This window comes from Homo sapiens, chromosome 8 (genome assembly GCF_000001405.40).
Source record: "Homo sapiens chromosome 8, GRCh38.p14 Primary Assembly".
NCBI lineage: Eukaryota > Metazoa > Chordata > Mammalia > Primates > Hominidae > Homo > Homo sapiens.
The window spans coordinates 143,439,919-143,457,352 of NC_000008.11; the positions used below are offsets into that span (position 1 = coordinate 143,439,919).

At 48.8% G+C, this 17,434-nt stretch overlaps 1 protein-coding gene across 2 annotated transcripts in view, besides 1 other annotated feature; it reads right to left on the minus strand.

The window, feature by feature from the left end:
- The window catches only part of ZC3H3 (zinc finger CCCH-type containing 3), a 103,789-nt gene that overhangs the window by 2,260 nt on the left and 84,095 nt on the right, over positions 1-17,434 (minus strand). Inside the window, exons 10-11 of one of the 2 annotated variants that reach the window (NM_015117.3) lie at positions 1,018-1,202; positions 123-445 (exon numbers count right to left, since the gene is read on the minus strand). In NM_015117.3, the coding sequence (NP_055932.2) occupies positions 123-445; positions 1,018-1,202 (508 nt within the window). Of the gene's footprint in view, positions 1-122; positions 446-1,017; positions 1,203-10,639; positions 10,734-17,434 lie in introns of those variants that run through there. The other variant, XM_011516943.3, reaches the window with a different exon arrangement.
- Positions 9,721-10,015: an enhancer, noted in NCBI's record as "tiled region #10662; HepG2 Activating DNase matched - State 5:Enh". NCBI's record gives its function as "activates a minimal TATA promoter and a strong SV40 promoter by Sharpr-MPRA in HepG2 cells {active_cell/tissue: HepG2}" and the evidence as "EXISTENCE:reporter gene assay evidence [ECO:0000049][PMID:27701403]".

The window sequence follows — 17,434 nt, forward strand, 5'->3', positions numbered from 1 at the left end:
CATGCTGCCTACCTGAGTCCTTGCTGAGGGGGGGGCCCTGGGGGCCTGAGCCAGGCCGTGCTGCCTACCTGAATCCTTGGTGAGGGGGGCCCTGGGGGCCCGAGCCAGGCCGTGCTGCCTACCTGAGTCCTTGGTGAGGGGGGCCCTAGGGGCCCGGACCCTGGGCTGGGCTCCTGGGCTCGGCGAGGACTGCAGGGAGATGAAGGAAGGCAGCTTGCAGAGCCTGTTGGAGCACGCTGCTGCTAAGGCAGCCTCCTGGAGAGATGGTGCCTCGTGGTCCAAGGAAGCGGGAGGGGATGAGGAGGAGGAGGAGGAGGAGGAAGCCTTCGAGGATGAGGGAGAGGCTGACCCCCCTGGGCAGTGGGGAGGTGCAGCCACGGCAGCCGCAGTGAGGGCAGCCGAGCTGGGCGTCTGCCTGGTGGGGCGCTGGGATGCTGAAGGCTTCCTGCAGGGAAGGAAGGGGCAGACGTGTGAGGTGGGGTGACGGGTGGGGATCCCAGCGACAGACTGCCCATGCTCTTGGCTGCTTCCTGCTCCCGTGGCCCTCCGTGGTCTCAGGGCAGAGCTGGAGGCACAGGTCAGGCCTGGCCCTTGGCCGCAAGGACAGGCTGGGTGCAGGGATGGCCCCAGCTCCACACCGAGCCTGCCCCTCACATCCAGGGCCTTGGCTTCCTGGTCTCCATGGGGCTCCACACCCACATGGCAGGTGGGCTGGATGAGGGGGCCCCCAGACTCCTCCCGGGGCTGGGCCTCCCACCCGGTCCCAGTGAGCAGGTCTCTGTGAGGCCCCACCTTCCTCCATTGGCCAGGGATGCCCTTGGCTCTGTCCAGACTTGGAAGTGGGGTAGGGGCATCTCTGGAGGTCATGTGATCCCCAGCCTTGGATAGGGATTTCTTTCTGGTCTGAGGCCCAAAGAGCTGGAGTTGGCGGGAGCTCAACCAGAGGGCCCCGGGCATCTCCCCAGACAGGGAGGGGGCCACCCAGGCTCACATGCACAGTGCCCACTGCCCCATCACCTGGGCCCGTGGCTGGCCGAGACCCTGCTCCTGGCGGTTGCGTCGCTGGGCCCTGGGGCGGGGGACGTGGCTGCCCGCCGACTGTGGCGTTTCTGGGTACGGTGGAGCAGCTGGCACTGGGCGCCGCGGGGACACGCCCCCCTGCGGGCAAAGTCGGGGCACAGCAGCGTGTGTTTCTTCTTGCACTGCAGAGAGAAGGGGTGCAGGTGGGTGGGCCGGCTGGAGGCTGTGGCGCTGCACGGGGAAGGCAAGGAGAGCCAGGCCAGGCCCCCCGAGTACCCACGGGGCCCCATAGGCTCCGTCCAAGTCTTGGGGCCAAAGGCTTCCTCTTGGAAGGCTGAGGCCACCAGTCCAGAGAGGTTCCACCTGGGCCCTCACCCACCCACAAGAGGCCCTCAGCCAACTGTAGGCCCTGGGCACAGACTGAGAGCAGGGCGGGGCTGGGCCAGCGTGGGGACTCCCAGAGCCTGCAGCCAGGCCATGGCTCAGGGCTCTGCCCACCCGCTGCCTCTGCCAGACCCCAGCCAGCCCATCCTGGCAGCACAGAGGGAGCCCGGGAAGGTGGGTGTGGCTAGAGACCTGGGGGTCTTAGGCTGGGCCGGGAGAGGGTGGGGCAGGTCAGCCAAGGCCAGGCTGCACTGGGTCAGGGCTGGGCTGGGCTGGGCACGCGATCCCTAGCACCTGTCACAGTGCTAATTATACCCACAGGGCAGGGGGTGTGCCAGCCAGCAGGTGCTCTGGGCAGCAACATGGCCCCAGCTCTCCTACCAGGCCCACAGGGAAACACAAAGAGGCTGCCCAAGGCCCCAGCGGCCCAGCCTGGCCTGTGGTGCAGGGCGCCCAGCCTGCCCTTCCTCTGCCCACCCCTCCCGGGCTCTGCTCTGCAGCCCAGCTGCCTGCCTGCCTCGTGCCCAAGGCCTTTCAGGGAGGGTATGCCCTCCCCCTCACCCTGCAGAGCCCACTGCATGGGGCACCCAAACTGCTCTTCATGGGACTAAGCGACAGGCGTCCCCAATGTGAACTGTGACAAGCTCCAAGAGTGGAGCTCAAATCTGTCACGGCACTAGAGTGGCCGGAGTGCTTCCAGCTCGTGGGGTGCCACAGCCTTGAACCCACATCCTCCCAGCCACACAGTCCCTTGCCAGGCACCTGACCTAAGAATCTGGGATCCCAGGTACTGCTCCTGTACCTGGGGCTGGCCGTGAGCACCTGCTCAGAACCGGGCCCTACACTGTACCCCATACCTTCCCTGGATCCTGTGGTGTGGCCCCCGCCATACCCCCAGGTGGAAGCCAGGCTCAGGCCAGTGCTTGCACCCTCACTCACTCATTCATTCCTGCGACACGGAGTCTGAGTCCCTCTACACAGCGCCTCGCAGTGCTTTGGGGCCCAGAGACCAGGGGCTCCTCAGGGGCCTGCGGCTGGAGAGATGCCCGGTCCTGCAGCAGAGCAGGCTTCAGGGGCCGGGGGGGGTGGGGGGGCGGGGGCAAGGCCTCCGGGGGGGGGGGGGGGCAGGGGCAGTGGCTGTGCCTGACAAGGAAAGCCCTGCCACCAGCACAGGCATCCCACGCGGTACTGGGACGGGCGTGGGGGTGTGCAGGTCCACTGTTCACAAAGGGGCAGGACTGCAGGCATTGCCAAGGCTGCGGGTGCATTTTATCAGATGCACCCACAGCCCCAGCAACGGCTGGTGGGCAACACTGGATGCAGAGTGCCCGGCTGAGATGTCCAGAGGGCACCTGCCACACAGCCAGTGTGAGCTGAGGTGTGGGTGTTGGTGTAAACCATGTGCCAGGACTCAGACTTAGTAGGAGCAAAATAATGTAAAATGCACATTTCTTTTTCCTTGATGACATGTTGAAATTTTTGATAGGATGGGTTAAATAAAACATGATTCCATCTGCTTTGGTGTATAATCTTTTTTAACCTTTTAAAGGTGGCTACTAGAAAAGCTGAAATTCACAAATGACTCATCCATGTCTGTACTGGACAGCGCCGATGAGAACCCTCCTGCAGAACACAACCAAATCCCGAGGATCAAAGAGAACTTTCTGAGGCCCTGCACAGTGGCTCACGCCGGTAATTCCAGCACTTTGGGAGCAAAAGCGGGTGGATCACTTGAGGTCAGGAATTCGAGAGCAGGCCTGACCAACATGGTGAAACGGTCTCTCCTAAACCGTCTCTACTAAAAACACAAAAATTAGCTGGGTGTGGTGGCACGCACCTGTAATCCAAGCTACTTGGGAGGCTGAGGCAGAAGAATCGCTTGAACCTGGGTGGTGGAGGTTGCAGTGAGCCAAGATTGCACCACTGCACTCCAGCCTGGGCAACAGAGTGAGACCCTGTCTCAAAAAAAAAAAAAAAAAAAAAAAGAACTTTTTGAAATTACTTAGGAGCGATGAAGAAAGTAAAATGATGGAAGAAAATATACAAGGAAACACACTGGACATGAAATGAATCTTAAATTTCAAAGGCCTGAGACCTTCATCTCATGTTCACTAATGAAAAACCCAAACCAGCCAAACAAAACCCCCAGAAAACTCTCCAAAGATCTGGAAATGTATCACCATCTGTGGAACAGCGAAAACAGGGCTTAAAGGAAAATACATAGCCTTAAATGCTTATATCACAACAGAAGACCTAGCTTAAAAGTTAGGGGGAGAACAGCAAATGAACTCAAAGCAGAGGGAAAGAAAAACAAAATAGGAATTAAAACCAAGAGAGTTAAAAGTTGGTTCTTTTAAAACAGTAATCAATTTATCCAATAGGGTTAATCAGGAAATAAAGAGAAGGAAGATGTAAACAATGTTGGGAACGCTAAGCGTGTAACTAAAGATGCTGCAGATGATGAAAGACACCGCACGCTGTGGTAACAAACGTCATGCCAGTATGTTTGAAAACACCAGTGAATTGACAAATTCTAGAAAAACTGACAAGAAAAATAAATCCAAGTATTTCTATAACCATGAAGAAATTGGAATCAGCAGTTAAAAAGCAAAGCTCCAACCCAAAGGGTTTTACTTGTAGTTCTTTTTTTCCTTTTTTTTTTTTTTTTCTGAGACAGAGTCTTGCTCTGTTGCCCAGGCTGGAGTGCAGTGGCACGATCTCGGCTCACTGCAACCTCTGCCTCCTGGGTTCACACCATTCTCCTGCCTCAGCCTCCCGAGTAGCTGGGACTACAGGTGCCCGCCACCATGCCTGGCTACTTTTTTGTATTTTTAGTAGAGATGGGGTTTCACCTTGTTAGCCAGGATGGTCTTGTTCTCCTGACCTTGTGATCCACCCACCTCAGCCTCCCAAAGTGCTGGGATTACAGGTGTGAGCCACCGCACCTGGCCTTTACTTGTGGTTCTACCAAATACTCCAGATGTACAATTCCAGTCTTCCATGAACAAGTCCACTGTATAGAAAAACACAGAACACTACTCAGCTTATGGGGCCAGAATAATCTTGAAACCAAATCTGACCAGGACTATATGAGAAAAAAACATTTAGGCCAATATCACTCATGAAAAGAATGCAAAAAGTCCTACACAAATTATAAACGAGAGTCTTGCAATGTGTAAAAACACTAATATATCAAGGACCAAGTTAGATTTATCTCAGGAATGCAAGGTTGGTTTAATATTAGAAAATCAATGAACAAAAATTAGCACATTAACAGGTTAAAAGAGAAGAATCATATGATCACCTCACAGATATGAAATAAGTATTTAATAAAATTCAACAGTTTTTTAAAAAGAAACATTTAGCAAATTAGTGATTGAAGGTAACTTCCTCAGCCTGAAATACAGGGTTTCGTAAAAGATAACTCCCAGAAAGCATCACATGTCAAGGGGAAAGTTTGGAAGCCCACTATCATCACCAGTCAATATTGTATTGGGGTCCTATCCAAGGCAGGAAGACAAGAAAAAGAAAGAAAACTTGTCTGGACTCAAAAGAAGAAAAAAAGTCATTATTTGCAAATGACATAATTGTTTATACAGAAAAATGCAAGAGAATTTATAAACTAATTACTAATATAGTTCAGCAAAGTTGCTGGAGATAAAATCTATATAAAATTATATTTCTATACGCCAATGAACAGTGAGATAATACAAATTTTAAATATACTATTTATAGTAATAAAACTATTAGGAATAAATCTAACAAAACCTAATCAAGGGCTGGGCACAGTGGCTCATGCCTGTAATCCCAACACTTTGGGAAGCCAAGGCAGGCGGATCACCTTAAGTCGGTGGTTGGAGACCAGCCTGACCAAAATGGAGAAACCCTGTCTCTACTAAAAATACAAAATTAGCTGGGCATAGTGGCACATGCCTGTAATCCCAGCTACTCAGGAGATTGAGGCAGGAGAATTGCTTGAACCTGGGAGGTGGAGGCTGCAGTGAGCCCAGACTGCACCATTGTAGTCCAGCCTGGGCAACAACAGTGAAACTTTGTCTTAAGAAAAAAAAAAAAAAAGATAATAAAGAACCTTATTAAAACACATTAAAGGTAGGAGGCCAGGGCGGGAGGGTGGGAGGATTGCTTGAGACCAGGAGTTCGAAATCAGCCTGGGCAACACAGCAAGACCCTGTTTCTACAAAAGATTAAAAAAAAACAAAATTAGCCAGGTGTCATAGCATGTGCCTATAATCCCTGCTGCTTGAGAGGCTGAGGCAGGAGGATTACGTGAGCCCAGGAGTTGGAGGCTGCAGTGACCTATCATCACAACACTGCACTCCAGCCTGGGTGACACAGTGACACCCTGTCTCTGTCTCTTAAAAAAAAAAAAAGACATTAAAAGGGAGGGTCTAACTGAAGAAATACAGATGCCATCCCCACAGGCTGGCAGCTCACTGCTCTGGGGACAGATGCCCATTCCACCAAACCGAGCTACAGATTCAAGACAATCCCAATCAAAATTCCAACTTTTTTTTAACCTGACAAGAAAAATCTAAAATGTATTTCTGGGAGAATAATGGTCAAGAATAGCTGAAATTCGTTCTAAAAAAGAACAAGGTGAAAGAACTTGCTTTATTATTATGAAGCTCAAATAATTCAGAGCATGGTTTGGCTCAGGGACAAACTGACCAATGAACAAACAGAGAGCCAGAAGCAGAGCCCGCATCCACGCAGACCTCACGACAGGAGGGAGGGCTGCACCGCACACCCGCTGGAAACAATGGGCTTTTCGAGGCCAGGCGCTGTGGCAAAATGAAACTGGACCTCACCGCACACACCACACAAGAAAATCACCTCCAGCTGGATGAAAGTCTCAATGTGAAAGGTAAACACAACAAAATATTTAGAGGCAACTGAGCACAATCTGGTGTAGAGAAGAATTTCTTATTCAAGACACTAAGGGTGCAAAATGTAAAGAAAACTATAAAACTATGTCCGTTAAAATCAAGAACTTCTGATTTTCAACACGTCACAAAGAAATGCAAAGATAAACCACAAACAGAGAAGACATGTGACTAACAGATTAAAGTCCAGGACATTATATGTATTTTTATGTTTGTTTATGTTTATAAATTCCCTCTGAGTCAGTAAGAATCAAACAACCCAAAAGAAAAACACCCTCACCCTCACCAAAAAGATTCCAAAAATCACCAAAAAGATTTTCCAGAAGCGAAGACACAAAGGCCTTAGAAACATGGGAAAAGGTTTTCCACCTCAGTTTACATCAGAGAAATACCAATTTAAAATATCAGACAGCTTTTAATCCTTCTAATGGTCAAAAAGTAAAAAAAGGTTGAACACAGCCTTCACAGAAAGCACAGAGGCCCGTCCAAGCTGCCGAGCGTGACAGGCCAGGTGGCCTGGGTGGGCTCATGTTTCCAGCTAAGCCAATGTCCACACTGCCTGGCCATGCACTGAGGCACTGCTTCCCACAGGGGGCCCTCTGGGGCCTGGACTGGGGCCCGCAACCGGAGAACTGTCTTCAGATAACTAATTGGTCGTCTGCCTTTTCTATCAGCACCAAGACAGTGGAGAGCCTCAGGTGAATCTCCCAGGCACCAGGTCACCTTTTCCCCAAGCCAGCCTGGCCCTGGGAGCATGGTCCATAGGGAGACTCTTCCGGCCTGTGCTTGCGGAGCTGACATGAAGGGCACAGGGACTGGGCCAGGCTCCACGGCGCTCTCTTCCTTGGCCAAGAGCAGGCTGATTTGCCCAGCTGGCTTGACCACAGCAGCTCCCTCACCACCTGTGCTGATTCAGCCCAGGGCCTGAGGGGCCCCTGCCCTACCACAGCACCCAGCCCTGCTTAGTTCTCTCCTGGGGGTGAGGCCCTAACCCCACAGCCAGCAGCACCTCTGATGGCTGTGACGCACCCTTTGTCCCCAGCAGAGTTGCCAGCTTCCTTCCCACTGTCCAAAATCAAAGCTGCCCCCTCTACCACCACCAGCCACCTTGGAGGACGTGTTCCAGACACTTCTATCCACGCTCTCCATCTTTCTCACGCTCCTCTGCATTCCAAAATCAGTGACTTCATGGAATGTAGTATCTTGGAACAGAAAACAGCATCAGGGAAAACTGAGGAAATCTAAATAAGGTCTGGAGTTGACAGTTACACCACACCAAAGTGGATGTCTCAGTTCTGACAGCGAGATGGTACATGAGTCCATTCTCGCACTGCTATAAAGACATACCTGAGACTGGGCAATGTATAAAGAAAAGAGGTTTAACTGGTTCACAGTTCACAGGCCGTAGAGGAAGCATGGCAGCATCTGCTTCTGGGGAGGCCTCAGGAAGCTTCCAATCATGGCAGAAGGTGAAGTGGGAGGGAGGCACTTCACACGGCCGAGCAGGAGGACGAGAGAGAGCGGGGCAGATGCTACAGACTTTTAACTGACCAGATGTCATGAGAAGCCTACCACAAGAACAGGACTCGGGGGATGGTGCTCAGCCATTAGTAACCGGCAGGGATGGCCGGGTGTCGTGGCTCATGCCTCCCACCACTTTGGGAGGCTGAGGCGGGTGGATTGCCTGAGGTCAGGAGTTCGAGACCAGTCTGGACAACATGGGGAAACCCTGTCTCTACTAAAAATACAAAATTAGCCAGGTGTGGTGGTGCATGCCTGTAATCCTAGCTACTCAGCAGACTGAGGCAGAATTGCTTAAACCCGAGAGGCGGGGGGTTGCGGTGAGCTGAGAGAGTGCCATTGCGCTCCAGCCTGGGCAAAAAGAGTGAAACTCTGTCTCAAAAAACAAAACAAACAAACAAACAAAAAATTAGCCAGGCGTGGTGGGGCATGCCTGTAATCCCAGCTTCTAGGGAGGCTGAGGCAGGAGAACCGCTTGAACCTGGGAGGCAGAGGTTGCGGTGAGCCAAGATAGCACCATTGCACTCCAGCCTGGGCAACAAGACTGAAACTCTGTCTAAAAAAAAAAAAAGAGACCAGGCAAGTCCTTTCTACCTATGAACCCATAAAATCAAAACAAGTTAGTGACTTCCAAGATACAATGGAGGCATAGGTATTGGGTAAATACTCCCATTTCAAAAGGGAGAAATCAGCCAAAAGAAAGGGGTACAGGCCTTATGCAAGTTCAAAACACAGCAACGCAGTCATTAAATCTTAAAGCTCCAAAATCATCTCCTTTGACTCTACATTTCACATCCAGGGCACAGTGATGCAAGGGGAGGGCTCCCAAGTCCTCAGCCAGCTCCGCCGCCATGGCTCTGCAGGGTTCAGCCCCCACAGCTATTTTCAAGAGCCAGCACTGAGTGCCTGCAGCTTTTCCAGGTGCATGGTGCAAGCTGTCGGTGGATCTACCACTCCAGGGTCTGGAGGACAGTGGCCCTCTTCTCACAGCTCCACTAAACAGTGTCCCAGTGGAGACTCTGCGTGGGGGCTCCAATGCCACATTTCCCCCTAGCAGAAGTTCTCTATGAGGGCTTGACCCCTGCAGTAGGCCTCTGCCTGGACATACAGGCTTTTCCACGTATCCTCTGAAATCAGGCAGAGGCTCCTGAACCACAACTCTTGCACTCTGAGTACCTGCAGGCTTACCACTACGTAGAAGCTTCCAAGGCTTACTATGGTTTGCACCCCCTGAAGCAGTGACCAGAGCTGTGCCTTGGCCCCTTTGAGCCACAGCTGGAGCTGGACTGGCTGGACACAGGGACGCAGATCCTGGGGCTGTGCAGGGCAGTGGGGCTCTGGGCCAGGTCCAGGACACCATTCAGTTCTCCCAGGCCTCATGCCAGTGATGGGAGGGTCTGACATGAAGGTCTCTGAAATGCCTCTGAGGCTTTCTCCCCATTGTCTTGGTTATTAGCACTTGCCTTCCTTTTAGTCACACAAATTTCTATAGCCTGCTTGAATTCCTCCCCTGAAAATGGGCTTTTCTTTTCTACTACATGGCCAGGCTGCAAATTTTCCAAACTCTATTTCCCTTTTAAATATAAGTTCCAGCTTGAGGTCATTTCTTTGCTCACACATATGAGCACCGAATGTCAGAAGCAGCCAGGCTACACCTTGAACACTTTGCTGCTTAGAAACTTCCACCAGATTGGTTGTGTACAGTGGCTCATGCCTGTAATCCCAGCACTTTGGGAGGCCAAAACGGGTGGCTCACCTGAGGTCAGGGGTTCAAGACCAGCTTGGTCAACATGGTGAAACTATGTTTCCACTAAAACCCCATCTCTACCAAAATACAAAAATTAGCTGGGTGTGGTGGTACATGCCTGTAACCCCAGCTACTTGGGAGGCTGAGGCAGGAGAATTGCTTGAACCCAGGAGGCAGAGGTTGCAGTGAGCTGAGATTGCGCCACTGCATTCCAGCCTGGAGCAAGACTCCATGTCAAAAAAACAAACAAAACAAAACAAAACAAAACCCAGGAAATTTCCACCAGATAGCCTAAATCATCATTCTCCAGTTCAAAGTTCCACAGATCCCCATGGCAGGAACATAGTGCAGCCAACCTCTTTGCTAGCACATAACAAAAGTAACCTTTGCTCCAGTTCCCAATAAGTTCCTCATCTCCATCTGAGACCTCCTCAGCCTGGACTTCACTGTCCATATCACTCTGAGCATTTGGTCACAACAATTTAACAAGTCTCTAGAAAGTTCAAAACTCTCCTCATCTTGCTGTCTTCTTCTGAGCCCTCCACACTCTTCCAACCTCTGTGGGTTACCCAGTTCCAAAGCTGTTTCCACATTTTCAGGTATCTATATAGCAATGCCTCACTCCTCAGTACCAATTTTCTATATTAGTCCATTATCGCATTGCTGTAAATAAATACCTCAGACTGGGTAATTTATTTCTTTATTGAGACGGTGTCTTACTCTGCTGCCCAGGCTGGAGTGCAGTCACACAATCTCAGCTCCCTGCAACCTCCACCTCCAGGTTCGACCGATTCTCATGCCTCAGCCTCCCAAGTAGCTGGGATTACAGGCATGTACCACTGTGCCCACCTAATTCTTCTATTTTCAGTAGAGATGGGGTTTGGCCATGTTGGCCAGGCTGATCTTGAACTCCTGGCCTCAAGTGATCCACCCACCTCGGCCTTCCAAAGTGCTAGGATTACAGGTGTGAGCCACTGCACCCAGTCAAGACTGGGTAATTTATGAAGATAAGAGGTTTAATTGGCTCACAGTTCACAGGCTGTACAGGAAGCATGGCAGCATCTGCTTCTGGAGAGGCCTCAGGGAGCTTCCAATCGTGGCAGAAGGCAAAGGGGAGGCGAGGCACTTCACGCGGCTGAGCAGGTCGAGAGAGGGGGCTGGAGCAGGAGGTCGAGAGAGGGAGGAGGTGCTACACACTTTTAAACAGCCAGATCTTGTGAACATTCCATCACAAGAATAGCACTGGAGGATGGTGCTAAACTATTATAAACCATCCCCATGATCCAATCACCTCCCACCAGGCCCCAACTCCAACATCGGGGATGATAATTCGACATGAGATTTGGGCAGGGACACAGGTCAAAGCACATCACACTGCTAGCTGTGGATCTGCAGGACGCTCCTGGCAGGGGAGGCTGGCTGAGGGTGTATGGGAACTCTCTGTGATATGTCTGCAACTTTTTGGTAAATCTAAAATAATAACAAGTATATTAAACACAGTAAGTGACTGGATGCTTTCTACCCTGACCAGTGAACAAACCACCAGAGAAGGCCTGTGGGGCTGCTGTGGGGGACTGCGGGTGCCCACAAGGACAGCAGGGAGGGGCTCCTGAGAGGGAGGCCAAGAGCTCAAAGCACATCAGCCAGAACCCAAAACCTACAGACACGGGAACAGGTGCTCCCAGAGCAGAAGGCAGGAAGCAGGACAGGAGCCCGGGGAAAACCTAAAGCAGGAGGGAAATAATAAAGAGCAATGACAGAAGTCAATGAAAAAGAAAAGGAGCAAGCAACAAAGAACACTAGCAAAACCAAAAGCTGGTTGTCTGAAAAGGGCAATAAGACAGACATGCCCCTGGCAAGACTGTTCCCAGAAACAAGTGAGAAAACGCAAATTAAATACAGATGAAAAAAACTCTAGACGCGACAAAGGATGTTGTAGACACACCGACATGCACCCATACGTTGAAAACCTCAGTAAAACGGATCCACTTCTGGGGGAAAATAAGCCAAAACTGGCATTAAAAAGAAGTAGGCCGGGCACGGTGGCTCACCCCTGTAATCCCAGCACTTTGGGAGGCCAGGAGTTCAAGACCAGCCTGGCCAACATGGTGACACCCTGTCTCTACTAAAAATATAAAAATTAGCCTTGCATGGTGGTGCACACCTGTAATCCCAGCTACTTGGGAGGCTGAGGTGGGAGAATTGCTTGAACCCAGGAGACAGAGGTTGCAGTGAGCTGAGATCACACCACTGCCCTCCAGCCTGGGTGACAAAGTGAGACTCTGCCTAAAAAAAAAAAAAAAAGAAAAGAAAAGAAAAGAAAAAAGGAGGAGCTTGCATTGCATTGCTTGGAACACAGACCCAAAGTACCAACCTACCATCCCTGTACTTCCCGCTAAGTGCCACCGTAACAAACCCAAGCCACCTCTGGCTGCGGAGAAGGTGCTGATGGAAGGGATCGGGGCACGACTGGTGCTGGGTGCCCTTGGGCTGCTTCCTGCCCCATCCAAGACTTGGAGTCAAGGAAGCCACAGCCCAGAAATGCCCAGAGGCACAGGCAAAGGGCAGCCCAGCAAGACAGAAGGTCTCGGGCAACAGCCATCTATTCCAGCCAACACGCAAAACCACTGCACCCCCAGCCAGATCAGCAAAGGCTGAGGAGGGAGCCTGGACTCAACCCTGGCCAGGAGGCCCTTCCCTTCCTTGCCGGGGTGGTGAAAAGCCAGGACATTCACCCCTTCTCCATCCCCCACGGAGTCAGTGGAGGCCATGTGGAAGAGGCACTGTGGAACTCCTTCCCCCAAGGCAGGGAGGGAAGGTTCAGGGAAGGTCTGTTTTCCACACCACCCTCCACAGTGTCAATGAGGCCAAGTGCAGGGAGCTGGGTTTCCACTCCTAGCTGGCAAGAAGGAGGCAGCCCCTCCACCCAACAGCCAGCATGACTAGGCTCCCACAGAAAGTGGCTGCTCACACTAAGAACAAGGGAGGCTCCAAGCTCGGTGAAGAGGGGCAGCGCCAACGCTGACAGACAGGGCGTCAGAATTATTTCATAAAGACAGAACAGCATCACAAAGACACTTCTACATGCAATACAAACATGCTGGAAACAGAAGAAATAGAAAGTATCAACAGAGAAAAAGAAGATACAGTAGAACCAAATGAAAATTTTAGAACTAAAAAATACAATAACTGAAATAAAAAACTCAGTGTGTGGCACAACAGCTGAATGGATGAGACAGAGAACTGGAAGACAGAATAACAGAAATTAACCCATCTGAACAACAGAAAGAAAATAAGGTTTAAAAAATGAACAGAGCCTTCGGGACCTTGGGACCACAACAAAAGACCTAACATTCATGTAACTGGAGATGCAGAAACAGAGCAAAAAGAACTCAAAGAAATAATACAAACTTTACAAATTTGGTAAAACACATAAGCCTATAGATTCAGGAAGTTGAGCAAACCTCAGACAGGATAGACCAAAGACATCTACCCCAGATGTCAGACAGGATAGACCAAAGACATCTACCCCAGATGTCAGACAGTGAAAGTTAAAGACAAAGAAATAATCTTCAAAGCAGCCAGAGAGAAACTACATTATGTTTGTTTTTTTGAGACAGGGTCTCACTCTCTTGCCTAGTGGTACAATCATAGATCACTGCAGCCTCGACCTCCAGGGCTCAAGCAATCCTCCCAACTCAGCCACCTGAGTAGCTGGGACCACAGGCGCATGCCACCATGTGTGACTAATTTTTGTTTTTTTGTTTTTTTTTTTAAAGAGATGGGGTTTTGCCATGTTGACCAGGCTAATCTCAAACTCTTGGGCTCAAGCAGTTTGCCCACCTGGTTCTCCCAAAATGTTGAGATTACAGGAACGAGTCACAGCACCCCACAGAAACCACATTTTACCCACTGGGGAAAAATTCAAACAACAGTGGATTTCTAACTAGACACCATGGAGGACATAAGGAAGAGGCATAACATTCTTCAAGCTCAAAAGAAAGAACTGTCAACACAGAATCCCATATTCAGTGAATTATCCTTCTGGAATAAAGGGGAAATCAAGACATTCTCTGATGAAGAAAAACAATGTCACCAGCAGTCTTACCCTAAAAAGTGGTTAAAGTTCTCCAAACAAAAAGGAAACAAAAGAAAAAGGCTTGGCACAACAGGAAGGAATAAAGAACAAGATAAGCAAAAATATGGATAAACATACCAGACTTTCCATCTCTTCCCCAGTTTTTAAAATTATGTTTGATGACTGAAATAAAAATTATAACTGTGTCTGTTGTGGTTCTAACTTCTGTAGAGGAAGTATTCCAGATGGTTATAAAAGGGGAGGTTAAGGGAGATGAGGGAAGGTAGGGTTTCCACACTTCACTCAAACTGGCAAAACGACACCACCAGCAGACGTGGATCAGTCATGCAAATATAATATAATACCCAAGGTAAGCACTACAAAAGCTATATAGTGGTCCTCCCCTTTCCACTGTTTCACTCTCTGCAGTTTCAGTTACCTGAAGTCAACTGTGGTCCAAAAATATTAAATGGAAAATTCCAGAAATAAACAATTCATAACTTTTTCTTTTTTTTTTTTTTTTCCCAGATGGAGTTTCACTCTTGTTGCCCAGGGCTGGAGTGCAGTGGTGTGATCTCGGCTCACTGCAACCTCCATCTCCCGGGTTCAAGCAATTCTCCTGCCTCAGCCTCCCAAGTAGCTGGGATTACAGGTGCCTACCACCACACTCAGGTAATTTTTTTTTTTTTTGTAACTTTAGTAGAGACAGGGTTTCACCATGTTGACGAGGCTGGTCTTGAACTTCTGACCTCAGGTGATCTGCCCACCTTGGCCTTCCAAAGTGCTGGGATTATAGGTGTGAGCCATCGTGCCTGGCCAACAATTCATAATTTTTTTTTTTTTTTTGAGATGGAGTCTTTCACTGTCACCCAGGCTGGAGTGCAGTGGCGCAGTCTCGGCTCACTGCACTGCAAGCTCCGCCTCCCGGGTTCACGCCATTCTTCTGCCTCAGCCTCCTAAGTAGCTGGGACTACAGGCGCCTGCCACCATGCCCAGTTAATTTTTTTTGTGTGTGTTTTTAGTAGAGACAGGGTTTTACCGTGTTAGCCAGGATGGTCTCGATCTCTTGACCTCATGATCCACCTGCCTCGGCCTCCCAAAGTGCTGGGATTACAAGCATGAGCCACCGCGCCCAGCCAACAATTCATAAATGCTTAAGTGCATGCTATTCTGAGCAGTGTGATGAAATCTTGCACCGTCATGCTCTGTCCTGCCCAGGACATGAATCATTCCTTTTTCCACACTGTATACACGACCTAACATTAGTCACTTAGTAGCTGTCTCCCTCATCACACTGACTCTTGTGGTACTGCAGCACTTGTGTCCGGGTAACCCTTATTTTCATAAAAAATGGCCCCAAAGTGCAACAGTAGTGATGCTAACAATTTGGATAAGAGAAGCTGTAAAATGCTTCCTTTAGGTAAAAAGGTCAAAGTTCTCAACTTCAGAAAAAAAAAAATAGGCTGGGCGTGGTGGCTTACACCTATAATCCCTGCACTTTGGGAGGCCAAGACGGGTGGATCAGGGGGTCAGGAGTTCGAGACCACCCTGGCCAACACAGTGAAACCCCATCTCTACTAAAAATACAAACATTAGCTGGGTGTGGTGGCGGGGGCCTGTAATCCCAGCTACTCAGGAGGCTGAAAAAGGAGAATCACTTGAACCCAGGAGATGGAGGGTGCAGTGAGCCAAGATTGCACCACTGCACTCCAGCCTAGGTGACAGAGCTAGAGTCCATCTCAAAAAAATAATAATAAAAATAAAAATACAAAAATTAGCCAGGCGTGGTGGCGCGTGTCTGTAATCCCAGCTACTTGGGAGGCTGAAGCAGGAGAATCGCTTGAACCCGGAAGGCAGAGGTTGCAGTGGACAGAGGTTGTGCCACTGCACTGCACTCCAGCCTGGGTGACAGAGCGAGACTCTGCCCCCCCTCCCCAAAATAATAATAATAATATAATATTCTGAGGTTGCTGAGATCTACAGTAAGAATGAATCTTCTATCCAAGAAATTGTGAAGAAAGAAAAAAAGAAATTAATGTTAATTTTGCTGTCACACTGCAAACTGCAAAAGTTAGGGCTACAGTGTGTGATAAACGTTTAGTTAAGATTTAAAAAGGCAGCCGGGCGTGATGGCTCATGCCTGTGATCCCAGCACTTTGGGAGACCTAGGCGGGTGGATCATTTGAGGTCAGGAGTTCAAGGCCAGCCTGGCCAACATGGTGAAACCCCGTCTCTATTAAAAACATAAAAATTAGTCAGGCGTGGTGGTACACACCTGTAATCCTAGCTACTCAGGAAGCTGAGGCAGAAGAATTGCTTGAACCCAGGAGGCGGAGGTTGCAGTGAGCCAAGATCAAGATCACACTACTGCACTCCAGTCTGGGCGACAGAGTGAGACTCTGTCTCAAAAAAAAAAAAAAAAAAAAAAAAGACTTAAAAAAGCGTTTGATTTGTGGGTGGAAGATAATAGAAACATGTTCCAAATGATGGAATTGGGTTCCATGACATCTATGGGTTCAGGTATCCATGAGGGATCTTGGAATGTATCCCCCACAGAGAAGGGAAGACTACTGAATAAAGATCTATATTGAAAAACACTATAAGTAAATCAAATAAAAATTCTAAAAAGTGTTCAAGTAACCCATAGGAAGGCAGGGGGAAGAAAACCCACAGGGAAAAAAAGAACTAATAGAAAACAAAATAAATCAAATGATACACTTAAGCCCTAATATAGCAATAACCACATTAAATGTAAATGTCCTACATATATCAACTAAAAGACAGAGATTGGCAGAGTGAATTTTAAAACATGATTGAACTATCTGCTGTCTACAAGAAAGTCACTTCAAATATGACACATATATACATTTAAAGTAAAAAGAGAAAAAAAGACATGAAAACTTGATTCAAAGAAAACAGGCGTGGCTATATTAATATCAGAAAAAGATGACTTCAAAGCAAAGAAAATCATCAGAGACAGAAACATTATATAATAATAAAAGAGTAAATCGATCAAGAATGCATAGTAGGGCCACACTTATAATCCCGGCACTTTGGGAGGCCAAGGAGGACCACTTGAGGCCAGGAGTTGAAGACTAGCCTGAGCAACATAGCAAGACCCTATCTCTACAAAAAAAATTTTAAAAGTAGCCAGACATGGTGGTGCATGCCTGTAGTCCTAGCTACTCAGGAGGCTAAGGTGGGAGGATCGCTGGAGCTCAGGAGTTTGAGCTTGCAGTGAACTGTGATTGTGCCGCTGAGCTACAGCCTGGGCAACAAAGCGAGACCCAGTCTCTAAACAAACAACAACAACAACAACGAAAAGAATGCACAGCAATTCTAATGTAAATGCACCAAACAAAAAAGCTGTAAAATACATGAAGCAATAACTGTTAGCTATGAAAGGAGAAACAGACAAATCCACAATTATAGTTAGAGACTTCAGCACCTCTCTCAACAACTGAAAACTAGACCGCAAATCATCAAGGATATAGAGAACTCAAAAGCACCTTTAACTAGCAAGCTCTATTAGACATTTACAGAGCACCAACAACAGTGGGATATACATTCTTTTTCAAGTACACATGGGACATATACCAAGATAGACTATATCCTCAGCCATAAAACAAACCGTGAGAAACTCAGAATTAAAATCTGTATGATTTTAATCAATACAGATCGAACTAGAAATCAATGAAAGAAAGGTAACAGGAAAATCTCAAAACACTTGGAAACTAAATAACACACTTCTGAATAATCCATAGGCAATACTCTGGTTTC